The 19,898-nt window shown below is 37.2% G+C and overlaps 3 annotated features.

Moving 5' to 3' along the window:
* Positions 13,859-13,908: an enhancer, noted in NCBI's record as "active region_25099". NCBI's record gives its function as "activates an Ori minimal core promoter by ATAC-STARR-seq in GM12878 lymphoblastoid cells {active_cell/tissue: GM12878}" and the evidence as "EXISTENCE:reporter gene assay evidence [ECO:0000049][PMID:35858748]".
* Positions 16,261-16,320: a silencer, noted in NCBI's record as "silent region_17561". NCBI's record gives its function as "represses an Ori minimal core promoter by ATAC-STARR-seq in GM12878 lymphoblastoid cells {active_cell/tissue: GM12878}" and the evidence as "EXISTENCE:reporter gene assay evidence [ECO:0000049][PMID:35858748]".
* Positions 16,331-16,410: a silencer, noted in NCBI's record as "silent region_17560". NCBI's record gives its function as "represses an Ori minimal core promoter by ATAC-STARR-seq in GM12878 lymphoblastoid cells {active_cell/tissue: GM12878}" and the evidence as "EXISTENCE:reporter gene assay evidence [ECO:0000049][PMID:35858748]".

Here is a 19,898-nt window from a genome sequence, read left to right as displayed (position 1 = left end):
AAATTGTTGTGCATCAATGAATACAATCAGCAGAGTGAAAAGGCAACTCACACAATGCAGGAAACATTTGCAAATCATATCTCATATAAGAGATTAACATCCAGAATATATAAAGAACTACAACTCAACAATAACAACAAAACCAACTCAATTCAAAAATAGGCAAAGGACTTGAATAGCTATTTCTAAAAGGAAGATATACAAAGGACAATAAACATATGAAAAGAGGCTCAATACTGCTAATCACCAGATAAATGCAAATCAAAACCACAATGAGATATTACATCACACCTATTAGAATGCTCATTGTATATATTTTGTAAAGTGTTGGAGAAGAAGTGGAGAAATTGAAACCCTTGTGCATTGCTTATGGAAATGTAAAAGGGTGCAGCTGCTTTGGAAAAATGGTGTGACAATTTCTCAAAAAAATTAAATATAGAATTACCATATGACCCAGCAATTCCACTTCTAGATCTATACCCAAAAGAATTGAAAGCAGGAACTAGAACAGATATTTGTACACCAATATTCAGAGTAATCAAAAGGTAGAAATAAACCAAATGTTCATGAACAAATGGATAAACATATGGATAAACAAAATGTGTATACATACAGTGAAAAATTATTCCATCTTAAAAAGAAATAAAATTAATACATGCTACAACATGGACGAACTTTGAAAACATTGTGCTAAGTGAAATAAGCCAGATGCAAAAGGGCAAATAGTGAATGATTCCATTTATATGAGGGATCTAGAACACGCAAATCCATAGAGACAAAAAGAATAGTGGTTAATAAGGGCTGCAGAGGGAGATCTGGGGAGTTACTGTTTAATGGATACAGAGTTTCATTTTGGGAAACTCTGATGAAAAAGTTCTGAGATGGTTAATGATCATGGCTGCAAAATATGAATGTACTTAATGCCACAGAACTGTACACTTAATCGAGACCAGCCTGGCCAACATGGTGAAACCCCGTCGCTACTAAAAATACAAAAATTAGCTGGGTGTGGTGGCACGTGCCTGTAGTCCAAGCTACTTGGGAGGCTGAGGCAGGAGAATCGCTTGAACCTGGGAGGCAGAGGTTTCAGTGAGCTGAGATCGTGCCACTGCACTCCAGCCTGGTGACACAGTGAGACGCCGTCTCAAAAAAAACAAGGTTAAAATGGTAAATTTAGTCTTTTCCTCTTGTTTATACTGAATTTAACTGGAAATTGAATTAAAGCTTAGTTCAAAATTCTGCTTTCTATAATATAGTGTGGCTTGTTCTCCCTAACTCTATTTTAACTTACCTCTGAGACATATTTGTTCTTTCCCTTATGAGCTAATGTTTGAGGATAGTTTCATTCTTTCAATCCACTTTTCTGTGGTGTAGGGACAAAGAGATGAAGGAAGAGAAAGAGAGTAAGCTTAATCTGGGCTGGTGCAGTCCTGGCTGACAAATCTTGTTCTGCAGGGTCCTTTGGGGATGTTAAATGTCCTGTCCTATGGCCTACCCCAATCAGCCAGAGGTAGATCCCATCCATGGGCTCACAATGCAAGACAGCCTGGCAATCTGTGAGATGGCAAGTCCTTGCAGCCTTTTGTCTCAATCTGGGTTCTAAGATAATTTTAGGAGCTGCTACTCTTGAGGAATTTTTCATGACTTTTCCCACCGCTATCAAGAGACACCCTTGACCCAGTGCGGTGGCTCACGCCTGTAATCCCAGCACTTTGGAAGGCCAAAGTGGGTGGATCACCTGAGGTTAGGAGCTCGAGACCAGCCTGGCCAACGTGGTGAAACCCCACCTCTACTAATAATACAAAATTAGCCAGGTGTGGCAGTGGCCACCTATAATCGTAGCTACTCAGGAGGCTGAGGCAGGAAAATTGCTTGAACCCGGGAGGTGGAGGTTGCAGTGAGCCAAGATTGCCCCATTACACTCCAGCCTGGCCAAAAAGAGCAAAACTCTGTCTCAAAAAAACAAAACAAAACAAAAAACAGAAACAAAAGAGAGACACCCGTACTTAGCACACTCTACAAAATTTTTAGCTCATCTTTTTTTACTCCTCTCTGTTTGTGTCTGGGAAGAATTAGAAGCTGTGCAATGCCATGCTGTGCCCCATTAAAATCTTTTTTTCTCTCCTGTTCACCACTTAATCTAATTTTTATAATCCAAATTTATCCACTCTTCCTAGTTTTGTTGCTTGGAAGGGAGATTCAGTGATCCTGCTTTATTCCACAAATTTTCTCCCAGAAGTCTTTTTTAAAAAATATCTCCACAGTAAAGATTCCTGGATGACCTATACTGACATGACTCAATCAGTCTTGATTAATTATAAAAGTTTTGATATTTTAAGTTGAACAAGTGTTGCGATAATTAAAGACCAATGCCAGACTGCAATGAAATTATGACTACAGTTAAATAGGTAGCATAGGCTGGGCGCGGTGGCTCATACCTGTAATCCCAGCACTTTTGGAGGCCGTGGCGGGTGGATCACTTGAGGTCAGGGGTTCAAGACCAGCCTGGTCAATATGGTGAAACCCTGTCTCTACTAAAAGTACAAAAATTAGCCAGGCGTGGTGGTGCACACCTGTAATCCCAGCTACTTGGGAGGCTGAGGCAGGAGAATCGCTTGAACTTGGCAGGCAGAGGTTGCAGTGAGCCAAGATCACACCACTGTACTCCAGCCTGGGTGACAGAGGGAGACTCCATCTCCAAAAAAAAAAAAGGTAGCGTAATCTTGGAGGAAACAAAACAAAAACCTAGAATCACAGGATTGGAAATGACCCTTTAAGGACATATGTTGATGATATACTGTCTCCGGGTGGACACTCGGCTGGTAGGGTGTTTGCAATTTGCCCTTGAGAGATTGGATATATATAACACCAAACACACACTCACACACACACACACACACACACACACACACACACACACACACGTACACCTCAACAATAAAACCAATATATACCAAGGGACAGTCTAATCTCAGTTCTCAGTGAAAAAGAGAACGCCAAGGTCTGAAGGGAATAGCCTTTCTGTCATGGAGGGAACGTTAGCAGCACCTTGAATGTTATCTGGACATAACTTGTGTGTCTCTTTCATGAGTTTTGAGTTAAAAAAATTATTCTTGCTTCACAAGCTGCACTATTTTAAACACAGCATGATTTTGGGACAACATAGGTCACACTTTCAGAAATACTGTGTGGGAAAATTAATGAAACTTTATGACTAACAAAGAATGCATCCAATGCCTTGTTTTCATGTCCCTCTTCATCTAAATGACTCTATCCTACAATTAAAGACATGGAGAAAACAATCCCTGGCTGTCTCTAGTATCATGTTCTGTAATTTACAACCCTGTTTCCTTTTACCAGTCACAATTATTGCAATTTTAAGCATCTTTATGGAAGAACAATCTCTATTTAAGTCACTAATGGACAAATAGTGGATTTTAGCTATAAAAGTGTATGTCAGAATGACTGTTAAATTTACTTGGAAGAAAAACTGAGTGAAACTTGCTAAGAAAATGAAAAGCAATGGGAGACATTGTCCTATAAATTTTTAGAAAGGAATATAAAGCCATCATAATTAAAACACTGTGAATCTGGTACAAGTATGAACAGAGCAATAGTACAAAAAGCCCATAAACAGACATGACTAGAAAGAAGAATGAAGTATATGAACAAAATGGCATTTCTAATCAATGGGGAAAGGATAGTTATTCGATAGTGTTTTGATGAATGGCTAATCATTTGAGGGCAAAATATAAAATATATTATTTATATCCTATACAGGTGTCTCTCTAACTCAAACAATGCCCCAAAACAGATTCCAGAGATATCATGTTCTCAAATGTTAAAACTAAAACCTTTGAGTACCAGAGAATAATTGTTAATATTTTTACAATATTCAGGTAGAGTGAGAATTTCTAAGTTTGGTGCCAAAGGTAGCAGATTAGTTTACATAAAGCTTAAAACTTTGAGAGCTGTTTTATGTTAAAACATGAAAAATTAAGAATCTGCCCATGTGTAGTAGCTCACACCTGTAATCATGCTTTAGGAGACTGAGGCAGGTGGATTGCCTGAGCTCAGGAGTTCGAGAGCAACCTGAGCAACACGGTGAAACATCGTATCTACTAAAACACAAAAAATTAGTCGGGTGTGGTTGCATGCGCCTGTAATCTCAGCTACCCAGGAGGCTGAGGCACGAGAATTGCTTGAACCCTGGAAGCGGAGGTTGCAGTGAGATGAGATTGTGCCACTGCACTCCAGCCTGGGTGACACAGCAAGACTCTGTCTCCAAAAAAAAAAAAGCAAAGACAAACAAAAATAAATTAGTAAAAAATAAAAATCAAAAGAAAAAAGACTGATAAAGACATTGCTACATGTATAACAAAGGAGTACTACATAACAATCCACAGAAATGAATAATGAAAAATGCCCAGTATAAAAATGATGAAGTATATGAAAAGGTGTTTCACAAAAGAAAGTAAAATAAAAGATAAATATATTTTAAAATTTGAGTATCATTAGTAACAAAAGAAATACAGAGTTTTAAAAACCTGGCAAGATACCATTTAAAGTAAAACAATAACAAATGGACTAAGATTGTTTTCAGTAATACTATTTATTGTTACAAGGTTAATTCACTGCCAGAAGCACTTTGGCAAGCATTAAAAACATTTGTTCAAGTGATTCCACTTTCAGAACTTATCCCAAGATTTTAACTATATCTGTGCACAGAAATACAGCAGGGTTGCTTGTGAAAAAACTGTAAATAACCATATGTTCAGTTAATTACATTATTGTATATCCATACAATACCGCCTTTTAAGGTGATGTTGTACAAAATATCTAATGACATGAAAAATGTCTATTGTAGAAGCAGAACACAAATTACAAATATTGCATATAATCCAATATAATTCCATTATTTCTTCTCCCACCCCAAACCCACCCCAGGCTTATGCTTTTCTCAGTGATGGTATTTCTGGAGACTTCTATTTTACTCTTTTTTTTCTTTGTATTTTCTGAATTTTCTACCATAAACTCTTATAAGAGAAAAATGTTAATTTTTTCAATAGTAAATGCCAGAAGTTTTTGCCAGTAAGTGTCTTCTGAGGGAACCGCCCTGATAACATTTTGTGGTTTTGATATAGTAACATCTGCTGTCCAGAGTGAATTTAATCCTGATGTTGTGTCAGTAGAGTTTCTTAATCGGGAAAACCAAATTGCTTTGTTCTTCTGCAACATCACAAAATTATTTTCACAACCGAGCCTAAAACCAGAACTTAAAAATGATATGCACTGAAACCATGATGGTGCCATTAAATGGATGTAAAAGTTATTCAATTTGCTCCGGTTACCATAGAGGAGAAGAATAACAATGAGTGTCTGGACGGGCTAGATTAGAAATCTGGAGAACTAGGTTGCAGTTCCATTTGTTCCATCAGTTAGAGGTGTGCTTTGGGGCTAATGAGAATCATCGCCATAAAAATGATCGCATGCATTATTATTATTAATCATGTGGTTACTATATATTACTTTCTGTAGTTCTTTGTTGTATTATCCCGAATCTTCACAACTTCTTTCTCAGGCTATTTAATATCCCTATTTTACTAATAAAGAACTGGGCTTCGGAGAGCTTGTTGACTTACTCAAGATTACCCAGCTTGTAAGTTGCAGAGCAAGGTGTGATGACATTTTCAGTTTGTATAGTTCACTAAAGCTCTGATTGCCCCAGTAAACATCAATTAAAGGCAGCGGCTTTTGTTTACTTTGGAAGCATTGGTCTAATGGTGTGGCTCACAAAGAAAGGCTCACTATTCTGACCAAAAATTTTTCACTGCTGCCATAATTCTATTCAGGAAATAATTAATAAATGCCTCTAAATACAACATACTATGTTAGTTATGGCAAGATACACCATTGTTGAAAATAGTCCACTCTTTAGAAGCTTAAAATCCAGAATTCTGGATATGAATCCTAAGTGCTTCACATACTAGCTGTGTGGACCTTGGCTTTAACTTCACTGTGCCCCAGCTTCCTTATCTGTAAAATGGGAAGAGGATTAATAACCATCTCAAAACTTACTACAAGGATTAAAAGAATTATATGTATGGTGCTGAGACTGATATTTGGTGTTCTTAAGTACTGATATGTGCTAATGAAACAATATATAAATATATAACCAATCTAGTGGCTAATTAGATAATGTTGATAGCATTCACTGATAGAACTACTAGTCTACTTCAAAGTTTATACATGTGTAATTTCTTTTAGCCACATTTCTCATGAGCGATGGCCCTGCGTATATATTGAACTAACTTATGTCTTTTATTACCTGGTCCTCCTCTTTGTTACATTATCTGAAAAATGCAATCGGTAACATTTCTAAACTCACTACTTCATTGGCTAGGTTAAATGATAGAAGACATTTAAAAGCACTTTATATGAAAAAATATATAAATATATGTATATTATTAGTAGTAGATCATTTAATTTTCTACTCAGTAGCTTTCTGTAGGCACAGAGATTGAAGAGGAAAGAAAAGGACTAAAATCATAATTAGGTTCAAATCTAGAATTAACTTTTAATAACACAATAGTGTCCTCAGTGTGTGAGACACTGTTTCTTTTAAGTATGGTCCAGACATGCAAGATGATGTGAATAGACGTTTTACTAAAATTTTACAGAATTCTGAGTAGTTATTGTTTTAGCACTTTCATATGCATGAACACTAGCCTTTCAATGACTTTGTAACATCATACAAAGTTCTGATTATGTGTCCCTGTCTAGGTTGGCAAATACAAAGAATATATTGAGACATTTATAAAGGCAGAAAAGACGGTCCTATTTCATAAATAAAAGAGAGAATTATTAAACAAATATTTAAAAAAAGAGGGGTAAGTCACTTGGTTAAGCGCATGGTGTAAATTAGCAGCAATGCTAATTAAATAATGAAATTCTTGGCAAAGTACAGTTTTGTGCCAAGTCAGATGAGATTGTTAAAATATATATGCACAAACACATACTTAATCTCTTAATTTCACTCATTTTATATGACTTCATTGTAATTTGAAAGTAGCTCATTGAACAGCAAGCTGTGTGTGCCAAGTACTATGCTAGAAGCCTAGAATTACAAAAGCAAGGACCAGGCAAGGGAAGCAATCTGGTGTTTGGAGGCTAGGCTTTTGCTATTTCTTTAGAGTATATTAAATTTTTTCCTAATTCAGAAATTGTTAGCATTTTAAAACATAAACCCAATTATTTAATGGAGAGTTCAGTTGTATCCAACCTACCTATCAGATGAATTCACCCATTAAAGAACAGGTATAGTAGTGAGAATAGCTGAAGTGGTTAGTGTCTCAGGAGATTCTCAGCCCCAGGCCAGGCCATTTTCACTTAGAATATAACCATAATCATGCACATGTCAAAACTCATTTACTGTAAAATTGATATTGGTTTTGAAATCAGTTAATACTCATTTAAGTAAAGGCAGTGAAAATATCGCAAAGACTTTTCCCTCCCACCTTTTACTTCTCTCTCTTCCTTTGCTTACCTTCACAGGCTCAGTGTTGGAAAAACATTGAAATAGCATTGTTTAGCAATATCTTTTACAATTCTATTTTACAGTTGATGAGAAATTTTAAAAATCTTATTCTTTCAAAAAGTGATCTAGAATGGAAACTCAAAAGACATCCTGTATTACAAAAATGTAACCAAGTCTAATGTTAGACCTGAAAAGCTCAGAGTATTTAATCTTATTTAACAATGGAATAAAAATCCAACAAAGCCTCAAGGGTTTTAAAAAATTGTTTTTGGAAATAAGAAAAGCTTAATTTAAGCAGTAAAGATAATTATCATGCTTAAAACAAATAAGTAGCAGTGAATCACCAAGACCCATTTTACTATGAGTCATAATGATATGTGGTCAGAGTCTTCAGTAGGTATACCTTTTTTTCTTTCTTCTTCTTCTTCTTTTTTTTTTTTTTTAAGAATACCCTTTGGTGGTTTTCTTCTTCCTCCAGATTTTTCATAATTTGGCATTGCTTTCTGGGGCTGAGACTTTTCATCTCTAGAAGATTCAGTACCCTATAAATAAAGTTCTTGTGGTTCACATGGTACAACAGGGCTGATCATATAGATGAGTCCCCTTCGGTGTCACCTACTCAGCTTCTTTCCCCACCCCATCCTGTCTCATGTGCAGACACATAAAATGTTCAGTTGATAAACAGGATGGCTTAAGGTAAAAGGTGAGAAGGAAAAAAAGGATAATATGAAGTGTTTTGAGGGTACAGGTATTATAACTGTTTTTTTTTTTTTGAGATAAGCTGTCACTCTGTTGCTCAGGCTGGAGTGTAGTGGCACGATCATGGCTCACTGCAGCCTTCAACTCCTAGGTTCAATCAATCCTCCTGCCTCAGCCTCCCAAAGTGTGGGATTACAGGCATGACCCACTGCACCCGGCTGAGATATTACATCTTCATATGCCCCTCTTGTGACTAGCACATTTACTCTGTCTCTAATAGGAGATCAGTAAAGATCTGTCAACAACGAGAATGAATGAATGAATGAGGGGTCCTCGAGAATGGTTTGCAGCCTCTTTTACTGCATCTGGGAAAGCAACTGAATTGAAAGAAAGTTATATATAAGGACATTGGAATAATAATAACATCTATTATAGTACTTTATAATAGCTATAAAACACTTTCACATGGTTTATCTCATTTGAACCTCACAAAACCCTTGTTAAGGAGGCAGATGTTATTATACATGGAAAAGATGACGATGTTTTCCTTCAATATATCACTTACAAAGCACCAGCCTGTGGGAGTGTTTGTCCCCTGGATAGCATATCATTAGTTGTGGTCACTGTGGTGAGCAACAAACCATTTTAAAGATTAGAACTGCACCAGTCTAAGGATGAAATAATTAATGCAACGAGTAGTCTTTATGTACACATGGACAGACTGGCGAGGAATGGGATGCGATAGAAGCTTATAAACTATTATGTAAATAACAGACATTTAATGAGAACTTACTGTATGCCAGGCACTTTGATAGGTCCCTTTTCGTACATTTTCCCCATTTAACGAATGAGGAAATTGAGACTCTTAGAGATTGAGTGACTTGCCCAAGGCCACAGAGTAAGTATATGCCAGGGGCAGAATTCTAATATCCAAAAAGTATAATAAAAGTTCCTATGTTGGCCAGGTGTGGTCACGCCTGTGATCCCAGCACTTCGAGAGGCTGAGGTGGGAGGACTGCTTGAGCCCAGGAGTTTGAGACCAGCCTGGGCAACGGAGTGAGACCTTGTGCCTAAAAAAAAAAAAAAAAAGTTCCTATCTTAAAGAGCTTGAAGGAAAAATCATGAATAACACACATCAGCAGATAAATATAGATGTGGCACAGAACAAACTCAATTGTTCAAATTAAAAATTCAAGCAGTGCACACTGCATGAGCTAAAGTGGTTGTTAAGTTCTTGAGAGAGGTCAAAAACTTAAACTTACCCTTGAAAGGTGAATAGGATTTGGACAGGTTGCGTGGAAGGGGAAGGTGTTTCAGGCAAAGTGAAATGCATCAGCAATTTGCAATACAAGTATGAGCATAACATAGTCAAGGGACAATATAAAGGGAAGATTTCCATGGTCATTCGCAATCACAATCTTGTATGATTTAGGGCATGGAGTTAGATATGTCAAAAAATTCAGAGAGATATTAGACGTGTTCTACAGAGAGTTAGAGGGGGATCAGTGGGGGCCATTGAAAACTGAGTATGTTGATAAAAGTTCCATGGAGGATCTAAATCTAGAGCTCAATTCAAATGAAATTTTAGACCTCACCTATGCATAGAGGGGAAAGAGAGACTGGGAGAATGCTCTTGGTAAAGTATGCTGGGTTTATGGTGTGTTTTGGTAGAAAACAACATTGCTATGGGCCTTGGATACCCGGCTAAGGAGTCTGTACTTTTTCACCCAAAATTTAGAAGCTTGGGGTTGCCTGTCATGGAGGACAGACATGGGTAAGTCTTTATTCTAGAAAAATTAGCCATGTGGCTCTTGATAAGGCTGACTGAAGGAGAGGAGAAACAGCAGCCAGAGTTAGAACCATTAGGAGGCTATTAAGGTAATTGAGCATTAGCATGTGGAATGGGCTATGAAAAAGAAAAAGAGAGACAGAAAAGTGTGGGCTGGGCATGGTGGCTCACGCCTGTAACCCAGCACTTTGGGAAGCTGAGGCAGGTGAATCACTTGAGGTCAGGTGTTTGAGACCAACCTGGCCAACACGGTGAAACCCCATCTCTACTACAAATACAAATACAAAAATTAGCCAGGCATGGTGGCACATGCCTATAATCCCAGCTACTCAGGAGGCTGAGGCAGGAGAATTGCTTGAACCCAGGAGGCAGAGGCTACAGTGAGCCAAGATCGTGCCACTGTACTCCAGCCTGGATGACAGAGCAAGACTCTATCTCAAAAAATAAAAATATAAATATAAAAATAAAGGAAAGTGTGGGGACCTACTGATGTGGATTGAGGAGGGGAGAGCAAAGACAAAGAGGGCACCAAGGTTCTAGTCTGGTGACTAGATGCCTAAGGATAGCTGGGTCACCTGCCTAATACTCTGCAGTGTTCAAAGCTCTCTTTTTTCATGATATGATTACACCCTTCACTCTTATGATAATGGACCTGTAGGCTGGCTATCATTCCTCCTGTCGATGAAAGAAGAAACTGAGAGGTCAAGCCAGAGCTCCTAAGTACCTGGCATGAAAAGGCAGTGAGCATAGGGAGTTGGTAGGGAGTGGTATGGGGATTGCTGTGAACTGGAGAGCCTAATTCTTATCTTCCATTTTTCGTAGATTCTATTGTTCACGTTTTAATTAATTAATTAGAGATGTGGCCTCACTATGTTGTCCAGGCTGGTCTTGAACTCCTGGGCTCCAGTGATCCTCCTGCCTCAGCCTTTGTTCACATTTTAATTTTTTTGCAATTGGGGTGCATCTTATAACCCTATAGTCATTGCCAGTGAGGTGGCGATCATAATGAAGTTATTATCATAGCTGTTTGTATTATGGTTGATTCAATTTAATGACATGCATTATTGACACTACATGTGATGATTTACTTGCCATATAAGATGTCTTTTAAAAGAGCATGTATTGAAAGTAAAGGTAAGTGTGTACAAAGAAAGGCATGTAAACAAACCTGTGGGATATACATTTGATATTTAACCACATTCATTTTCTATTGCCTCTTTATAACAAATTTATTCAAATGTAGTGGCTTAAAATAGCACAAATGTATTATCTTACAGTTTCATAGGTCAGAAGTCTGATGGAGGTTTCACTGGGCTAAAATAAAGATGTTGATGGGCTGTGTTCCTTTCTGGAGGCCCTAGGGGAGCATATGTTTCCTTGCTGTTTCCAGCTTCTAGAGGCTGCCCACATTCCATGGCCCCTTTCCTCCATCTTCAAAGCCAGCAACAGCAGGTAGAAGACTCACATCGCATCTATGGAACCCTTCTGCTGTCTACACATCTCCCTCTGACTCTGACCTGGGAAAGGTTCTCAAGTTTAATGACTCATGTGAGTGGGATGGGTCCACCTAGATAATCCAGGATAATCTTGCCATCTCCAGGTCCTTAACCTTAATTACATCTGCAAACTCACTTTTCCCATGTAAATTAACACATTTCCAGGTTCCAGGGATTGGGAATCGGTCACCTATTGAGGCCATTATTCTGCTCACCACAGTGTTAAAACAAAAATTCATCTTTTGAACAAAGACCACAGCAAAGCAACAATTGATAATCTATGGGTCCCCAAAAAGGAAGTTATCACAGAGTAGGTACAACTATGTTCAATGTTATTACTGAGATGTATGTGGAAGATTTTACCAAAAACCAACCAGTGCAACTAAAGTGAAGGGGATTTTGCCCAGTTCTCAGAATGGATATAAGATATTTCCAGTCCAAGAGGATTTACTGATAGAGACTTAGGATATGAGAGGGATAATGATTTTCTAGACTGCTTAAAATCTAAGCTACATAACTTCTCTCTATTTTAGTGTCTGAATTAGTTCAGCCTAGTTAAGTACTGATGTTTTTCAACTTGGCTTTGTTAGAACTAGAATCTGTCCTCTTTTTGCCCCTTGACCTCTTTCTATGATAAAAGTGAAAGAATAAGACAAGCGTTACAAGTCAGAGTATGTGTTATTCCTGAGCAAGAGTATGTTAGTGACAATTTCCAGTGTGGGTGGATTTGAGGTTCTGGAGGACGAATGAATATTTTCCAGTTTGCTTTTCTATCAACATCAAAGACTCTATCATCACATCTGCCCCACACTGCTTCAGTCTTGTGCCTATTATATAGTATGTTCTCGACCTTAAGATTTTTTACAGAGGTTTTGTTTCATATATCTAAGTTTGTAGTTAATTAAATGAAGACTTTGCTAGAGGCTTTAGTGTGTGTCAGCGCACGGAATTTAATCCTCAGAGTGCATCCAGGAGACACATATCCCATTACTGGGAGCTGGGCCTCATTTGTTCCTGGCAGTATCCCCCAGGCTAACACTCAGCTAGACTTAGCTTCATATGGTATTGGCCATATCCAACAACATCACATCCTCTTCATGTTAGCCCAAGATTTGCTAACATGGAGGCTCTGGGAAGCCCCAAACGCTTTGGTGGATGTTTTTAGGTTGGTGCAAAAGTAATTGCCTCCCAAGGCAAATGCTTTTAAGCAAACAAGTCATGTAGATAACAGGTTTTTGGTACTTTTATTTAGCAAAAATCAATAGTGTTAATTTTTAGTTATGTTTGCATGAAAGTTGTGAGAAAAGCTAATCATCTTTTATATCTAAATCCCCAGCCCCTTTGGATTTTATCAGCAGTTGTAATTGTCCAATAAATATTAGAACAAATACATGACTTAAAAATAAAATACCAGGCATGGCAAAAAACCTAAAGAGAAGTGACTGGCTAGATTTGGCATAAATAAATAAATATCATGAAGCAGAACTTGTTTATGCAAATTTCCAATTCCCCTTCCAGTGCCTCTGCTCCCATCCACTGGGGCCCACCAAGCCTATTTCTGCTGGTTTTTATTCTCACTTATAGTGAAGGTGTTGGCTGATAAAGGATTAAAGTGGCAGCTGTCCATGGAGAATATTCACTTTCACAGTGGCTTTAATGTCCTGATAAGATTTAGAAAAATCAAAGAATAGCACCCCTAATGGTAGAATCTCAGGAGTACACCCTAGGGCAAAAAAATTCCTATTTGAAGCCTTCAGGTCTTCATTTTGTGGTGACTTTTTAGGGTGATGTTTTTGCTACCCATTCAGGTCAAGACAATGGTTTAGAGAGTAAATGTTATCATTTCACTTATCAATAAGATTCTAAAATGAGAACCCATGTCCCCAGGTTATTTTTTCTCCAGAGTTCAAATGTGAAACCATGTTCCGTCAAACAGGATCTTAACTGTAATTTCAATCTTATGCAGATTAAAAAATTAACATTCCATTCCCAGTGATGTTGGCTTTTCCTGGTGAATCATTTGTATGTGACTTTATTTCATGGGGTCTCTAATTACATGCCTCCAGAAGACACAAGGTATCGTAGGCTGCTCTTGTGGCTACAGTTATGACAAATCATGGGAGTGATGCAATAGTTCAGAGTATCTGTGGGGTGTGAGGCAGTGTATGCTAGTGCTGCTTCAAATTGGCTCATGATTGCTGATTGTGTGCATTTCTTCCCAACTCAGGTCCAATAACTTCATACCGGTAGTCTGAAATTGGATATGGGGAGAGTATTTGCACCAAGGAATTTGGCAAACAATACCAGTCAGGGTTATTGATTGATTGACTGACTAATTTCAAGAGAGCTGGCTTACCAGTTCACCACTGGTGTGGGTAATCTATGTCTCCCAAAGAAAGAAATATGCACTTTATTCCTAATTAATATTTACTCATTTTATCCTAGCTGACCCTAAATCAGGTCAGCTGAACTGTTACCTCAGGAGCATGTAAGATTGCAGACAACATAAAGACCTGCATTTGTTGATAAATACATGAGTGCCTTCTAGGTGCTGTGGATATAGTACTGACTAAAGTCAGACACAGTACTTGCCCTCATGGTGCTTACAGCTTGCTGGAGGAGACAAATGTTAATAAAAGAATGCCATAAATACTGTAAAATTCAGCCATGGTTAAGAGCCGTGAAAGACAGAGATGTCATATTACCAGAGTGTGTAAAAGGAGGATCTGACTCAGGGAAGTAAGGGAAGGCTTTTGTAAGAAAGTGATGTTTGCCTGAGATTTAAAGGAACAGCAGGATTAAAATAGACAAAGCTAGCAGGTGCTTAGTACCTGACACACAGTAGGTGCTCATTAAAGATAAATGGTGGGTAAATTATGTTCCGCTCATGCACTGGAATCTCTGTTGAACTTTGATAGCAATTTCCTGGGAAACATGGGTTTCTTTCTATTAAAACACACCACTCCGGGATGACAGCTACGATCTCTTACAAACTGGTTTTCAGGGACCGTTAACACCTGCTCACTGGAAGAACTCCAGTTCTGTGTGAGATCATGTGATAGGAGACCCGTGGCCTTTAGCTACACATCAACCACACAAGTAGCTGTGGTTTGCAGAGTTAAAAAAAAAAGTTATTTTCCTTTTGAAGCCCAGAAACTGCCAGCCTCTGGAGTTGTTGTGACGCTGCCTTCATGTCTGGATGTTTGTTCCCTTGTGTACAGTGACTCATGTTCCATCTTGTCCCTTTGCCATATGGTTTACAGAGGTAATATTCCCTCAAGGAAACAAAAACACAACAACACAATCATCTCTAAGATAGTGGAACTTAGGTTTTGAATGCAATTGTACGTAGAATATGAGAACATTTTGCTTAGAGAAATCAAACATATCTGTAATATACAGTAAAGGTGCTTCTTTGGGGGTGGTGAGAGTGCAGGCGGATGTGGAAAGGAAGGCAGGACACAAGTGTGATTTGGTGAGAGCTGTTGGTGGATATGCCAACTGGGACCTATGGTGGGAGAACCTCGCTGCCTCAAGCACAAATGCACAAAGCTCACACTAGGGGGCTCAGGGTTCTAGGATTTATGGGTTGGGAAGGGGAAGGGGAAGGGTGTCTTCCACCATCTGGCACTCTGTGGTCCAGCTGTGTTAATCCAACCATTACTGTCCTCATGTTTAGCCCACAGCATCAACAGCTCTTTCTTTTTCATTGAATTTCATAAAGGGATATGAAAGTTTTTAATGTCAAAGTTTTGATTCCTATAACCATGTCATCCCCATAGAAGCCAAAGTCTTTCCACATAGTCATCATAAATACCCTGGCCTGGTACTTTACCTCTGTCCACATAATGAGCAGAAAGGGGTCCTCCTAATGTATATTGAATGTATAATATGTACCAAGTATTACAGTTCACCCATCATCCTGTAATCCTTCAGCAAAGCGATGAAGGAGGTGTCATCTCTATTTTATAAATAAAGAAACTGAATTGTAGTGATATTAAGTAGCTCCACTTACCCAGTAAGTGGAGAGCTTGGGGATTTGTGTCTACGTATATCTGCTTTCTTTCTACTATGCTGAAGTGTGTTTTTGTCTCTCTGGGTTTTTTGTTTGTTTGTGTTTTATTGTTTTTCTTTTCCTTTTTTTTCTTTCTTTTTTCTTTTTTTTTCTTTTTTTTTTTGCCATGGTCTAGTCATGGTGGATAAGAATTTGGAAAAAAAATTGTTTAGCTGCTTTTTTGAAACCTCGGACTAATTTTCCCTAGTTTCAACAATGAAGCAAACTCAGTAATAGTGAGTGATGGAGTTCAGAATAAACTTTCTTATCTTCTTCCAAATGTGACTGAAATTAAGTAAAAAGAGGTGCCATTGTTTTTAACACATCACTTAAATGTAAAGGATTCTGAGGGTCTGGAATGTTTAAGTGAAAGTTACCCGTGCTGAATTTCTACTGATGGAATCTTTTAAACAGAGCTGCTAAAAATGACTTATGGTGATTATCGTTGAGACTTCAAAATCCCGAGTGTATAACCACAACAGTAGTCACAGACACAAGGTGTGTAATATAGAAACACAAAGTTCAGAGGCTTTACCAAATTCATAATAAATTTAGAACCCAGTCAATCTAGAGGAAATTAGTATATAAACAAAAATAGAAAACACGTAAGAGAACAACGTTGTATGAAAGCAAAGTGAAAGCTGTTGAATTTGTCTTTCTATGGTATGCTTAAATACACAGAAACACTTTAATGCATCTGCCCAGATTAGTTGATCTTGATCTGTTCATCCCTAAAGTCAATCTGTGGCAGCACATCAGTCTCTCTGTCAGCAGCCATGGGTAACTTTGGCAAGAGGTGTGCTGGGGATGTCAAGTGGCCATTCCAGACACCCTTGCCAAGGGGCTTTCCTGCTGGCCTCAAGGAAAGATACAGTACATTTCCTGGAATTGATTAGAAATCCCTAGGCTGAGGCCAGGAGCTTAATTTTTAAAATATTCCAGACATCGCAATAAACACAAACCTACTGTTGTTGCTTTTTTCCCCCAATATTTGACTGCAGATTTGGTTGGTGCATGTCTTGTTATGTAGATCATCTACCTAAAAAATTCTTCTAAGAGCTTACCTTCACAGGCAATTTGACTTAATTTTTACAGTAATTTTAAAGCCTAACTTGTCTAGTTGAGAGGGAGGGGGAGTTCCAGGCTTGACTCAGATATGTACCAATGTTGCTATTTTAATAAATGAGCTGTAATCACTATCCTCTGCCTGTTATTTACCCTGGATAGTCTTTGCTTTGATAACCCAAAGTCAATCACATAAACTCTTTTTCTTTCTTAGGATTTTCTTGGTGAATTATTTCCAATATATACAATTTTTAGGAAAAAAGTGCCTTTAAGGCACCCTGCATACATGATTTCATTCTCAACAAGGTTGGGTAAAGCCAAAGTTAAATTTCAGAATCTAACTATGTATCTGTCAATCTATATTTATTTATTTTTGTTATTCTTCACTAAATTATGGTTTCCTATCTGTGACTAATACTGTAAATGCTACTTCTAATTTGATTGTTTTTATGGCTGTGATATCATACACAAAATATATTGACTTTTAGTAAATATTTGAGACTATTATTTATGGATAAGGGTTGAGTTGTAAATAAAACCTATAATGCAGGTTAAACAACATTAAGGAAATGTTCATTTTAAATCTTTATACTTATTGAAATTATTTGGTTATACTAATCAAATGTATGAAAACACTCAATATAATTATTATTGTAGATTTCCTTCACAGCAGAAACAAGCTATTACTTTTGGTGATTAGACTGAAGGATTACTTTGAGAGACTGAGGCGGGAGGATTGCTTGAGGCCAGGAGTTTGAGACCAGCTGGCCAACATGGTGAAACCTTGTTTCTACCAAAAATACAAAAATTACCTGGGTGTGGTGCCTCATGCCTGTAGTCCCAGCTACTCAGGAGACTGAGGTGGGAGGATAATTTGAGGCCGGGAGGTGGAGGTTGCAGTGAGCCAAGCTCCAGCCTGGGCAACAGAGCCAGACCCTGTCTCAAAAAACAAAAACAAAAAAAAAAAAGACATTTCAGGCAAGGGGATATTAGGTAAATAAATTAAAAAGGGTTTTATTATAATTATAGAGTTTTTTTAATAAAAAAGAACTAAATAATCAGCCTGTTTTCCCCATTACATGAGGTGAGTTCCCAAGTCTGCAATACAAGCTCAAAGGTCTCATTCAAAGACTTCTCACTGCTCTGCCTTCCCTCTTCATCTGATGCTTCAAACGATTCTTTGTAAGAGCATAAGTCATATAATCTGCAGTTAATGACTATGCAAAAGTGGCTTATGTTTTGAGTTCTTTTATGTCTTTGTATTTTTTTCTCTCTCCTAGGTCCTACAGATAGTAGTTGTTCCAAGAATTTGCTATAAATCATTCCTCTCGTATGTCAAGTCATGCTTGATTCACGGTATGCTGTTAATGGCCTTGCAGAAGATCTGACCATTATACCCCTTTACTTTATTCCTTTACTTTTACTACAAATGTATTTGTGCATTTCTCCAAAGAGCAATAAAGTCTTTATAGCAATAAAATAGGCACTTACTGTGATACACAGTGATACAATGAATAATTTCAGATCACATCCAATGTTAAAAGTATTTATGAAAATAATGTGGTACAAATAGGCAGAAATCATGGTAATCTCATGATTTGTCAGAATAATGTTTTCTTTTTGTTTATTTTGTTTTTCAAAGAAGTAACAATGGCAGAGACATAGCCATCAGAGTTTTAAAAAGATAAGTAGAAGGATAAATAAAAATTGCTGTATTTGAGTGAGTTCTATTGAATAAGTTATGGAAATCTTCTGGCAATTGAAGAAAAAAAATTGAGCGGCTGTAACTGCATGCACATTATGCAAATTTGAAAGGAGCAACGGCTTGTTTTGCAGACTGTGGATACCTTTCTCACAGCAAGACAAAGCTTTAGAAGGAATAAAGAAAGTTCCACTGAACAGTAATAGATCTTTAAACCTTTTTAGTTTTCAGCAATACATAACCATATCTAAAAATGAAATATTATTTTGTACTATATAGTCCTTTACTGAAATGGGTTATTTCTACTAGTCTGATAAACCCATTCAAGCCAGCTGAAACCAAGGGTGGATGTACCACCACTTAAGCACTCACCTATTATTGATCATTCACTTCATTTCCAGGTTTCTGTCATTACAAATGAGGACTGCAATCAACATCTTTGCACATATATCCTTATGCTGGCTATAAAATAGATTCCTAGCAGTGAGATTGCTGAGCTGAAACTAAATGTGTTTTTTCACTTAAATTTTAATAGATGCTATCAAAATGCTTTCCAAAAAGGTTGTTAATAGTTCACATTTCCAAATACTATGTCTCTGCCTCCCACCAGTGGAAGCATTCATACTTTCACATTTTAGTCTTACCTGACAGGGTAAAATGAAATCTAGGGAAAAAAATGCTAGAATTAATAAGCAAATGTATCAAGGTTGCAGGATATAAGGTTAATATACAAAAATCAATTCTGTCTTTACATTAGCAATACACAAGTAGAAAATAAACCGATTATAATAGCATAAATAGTATGAGATACTTGGAGATAAACTTAACAGTATATATGTAAGGCCTGTATAATGAAATGAAAACTACAAAAAAATTTTCCTCAGATCAATCTATAGAACCGATACAATCCCAAACACAGTATTTACTTGATGATAGTGACCAGATTTAAATCGTTGAAAACAATTTCTCATAATCAGATTGTACCAGAATGCTAAAACATAGTGCTTAATTTGCCCTACAAGTTAGTAGCCAAATATGAATACTAAACAGTGTTTGATACAATGCAAACTAAGTTGATTGTTCAAAATACCTAAACTTTTCTGTTAAAAGTAGGGTGGTCTTATATCAAAGTTGGCCAGGGAGAGTCTATGTCATCTGTCCTGATAGAAATAATGTCCTCAAACTACTTTGATTTGAATGATGAACTATATGGTCACCATAGCTAATAGGAACTCAGTACTTAGTTTCATAGCCTTAAACCAGAAAGTTAAATGGAATTTAATAACTACCTGCTTTTGTGTTTAATTGGTATATTCTTGTGTAACATTACAATCCTTCTTTTTTTGTTATATGTTTTTATTTTCTTAATTGTTGCCCTGGGGATCATAATTAGCATATAAATTTAAATAATTTATTTCAATTACTAGTGATTTATTTAAATGGAATACAAAAATTTTGCTCTAATATATCTTTTTTCCTCCCCCCTCCATTGTGCTATTATTGTCATAAAAATTACATCTTTTTTTTTTTTTTTTTGAGATGGAGTCTTACTCTGT

The sequence above is a fragment of the Homo sapiens genome, chromosome 6, assembly GCF_000001405.40.
Source record: "Homo sapiens chromosome 6, GRCh38.p14 Primary Assembly".
Classification (NCBI taxonomy): Eukaryota; Metazoa; Chordata; class Mammalia; order Primates; family Hominidae; genus Homo; species Homo sapiens.
Note: the sequence above shows the minus strand (reverse complement) of the source record. Positions and strands in the feature narration are given on the sequence as shown.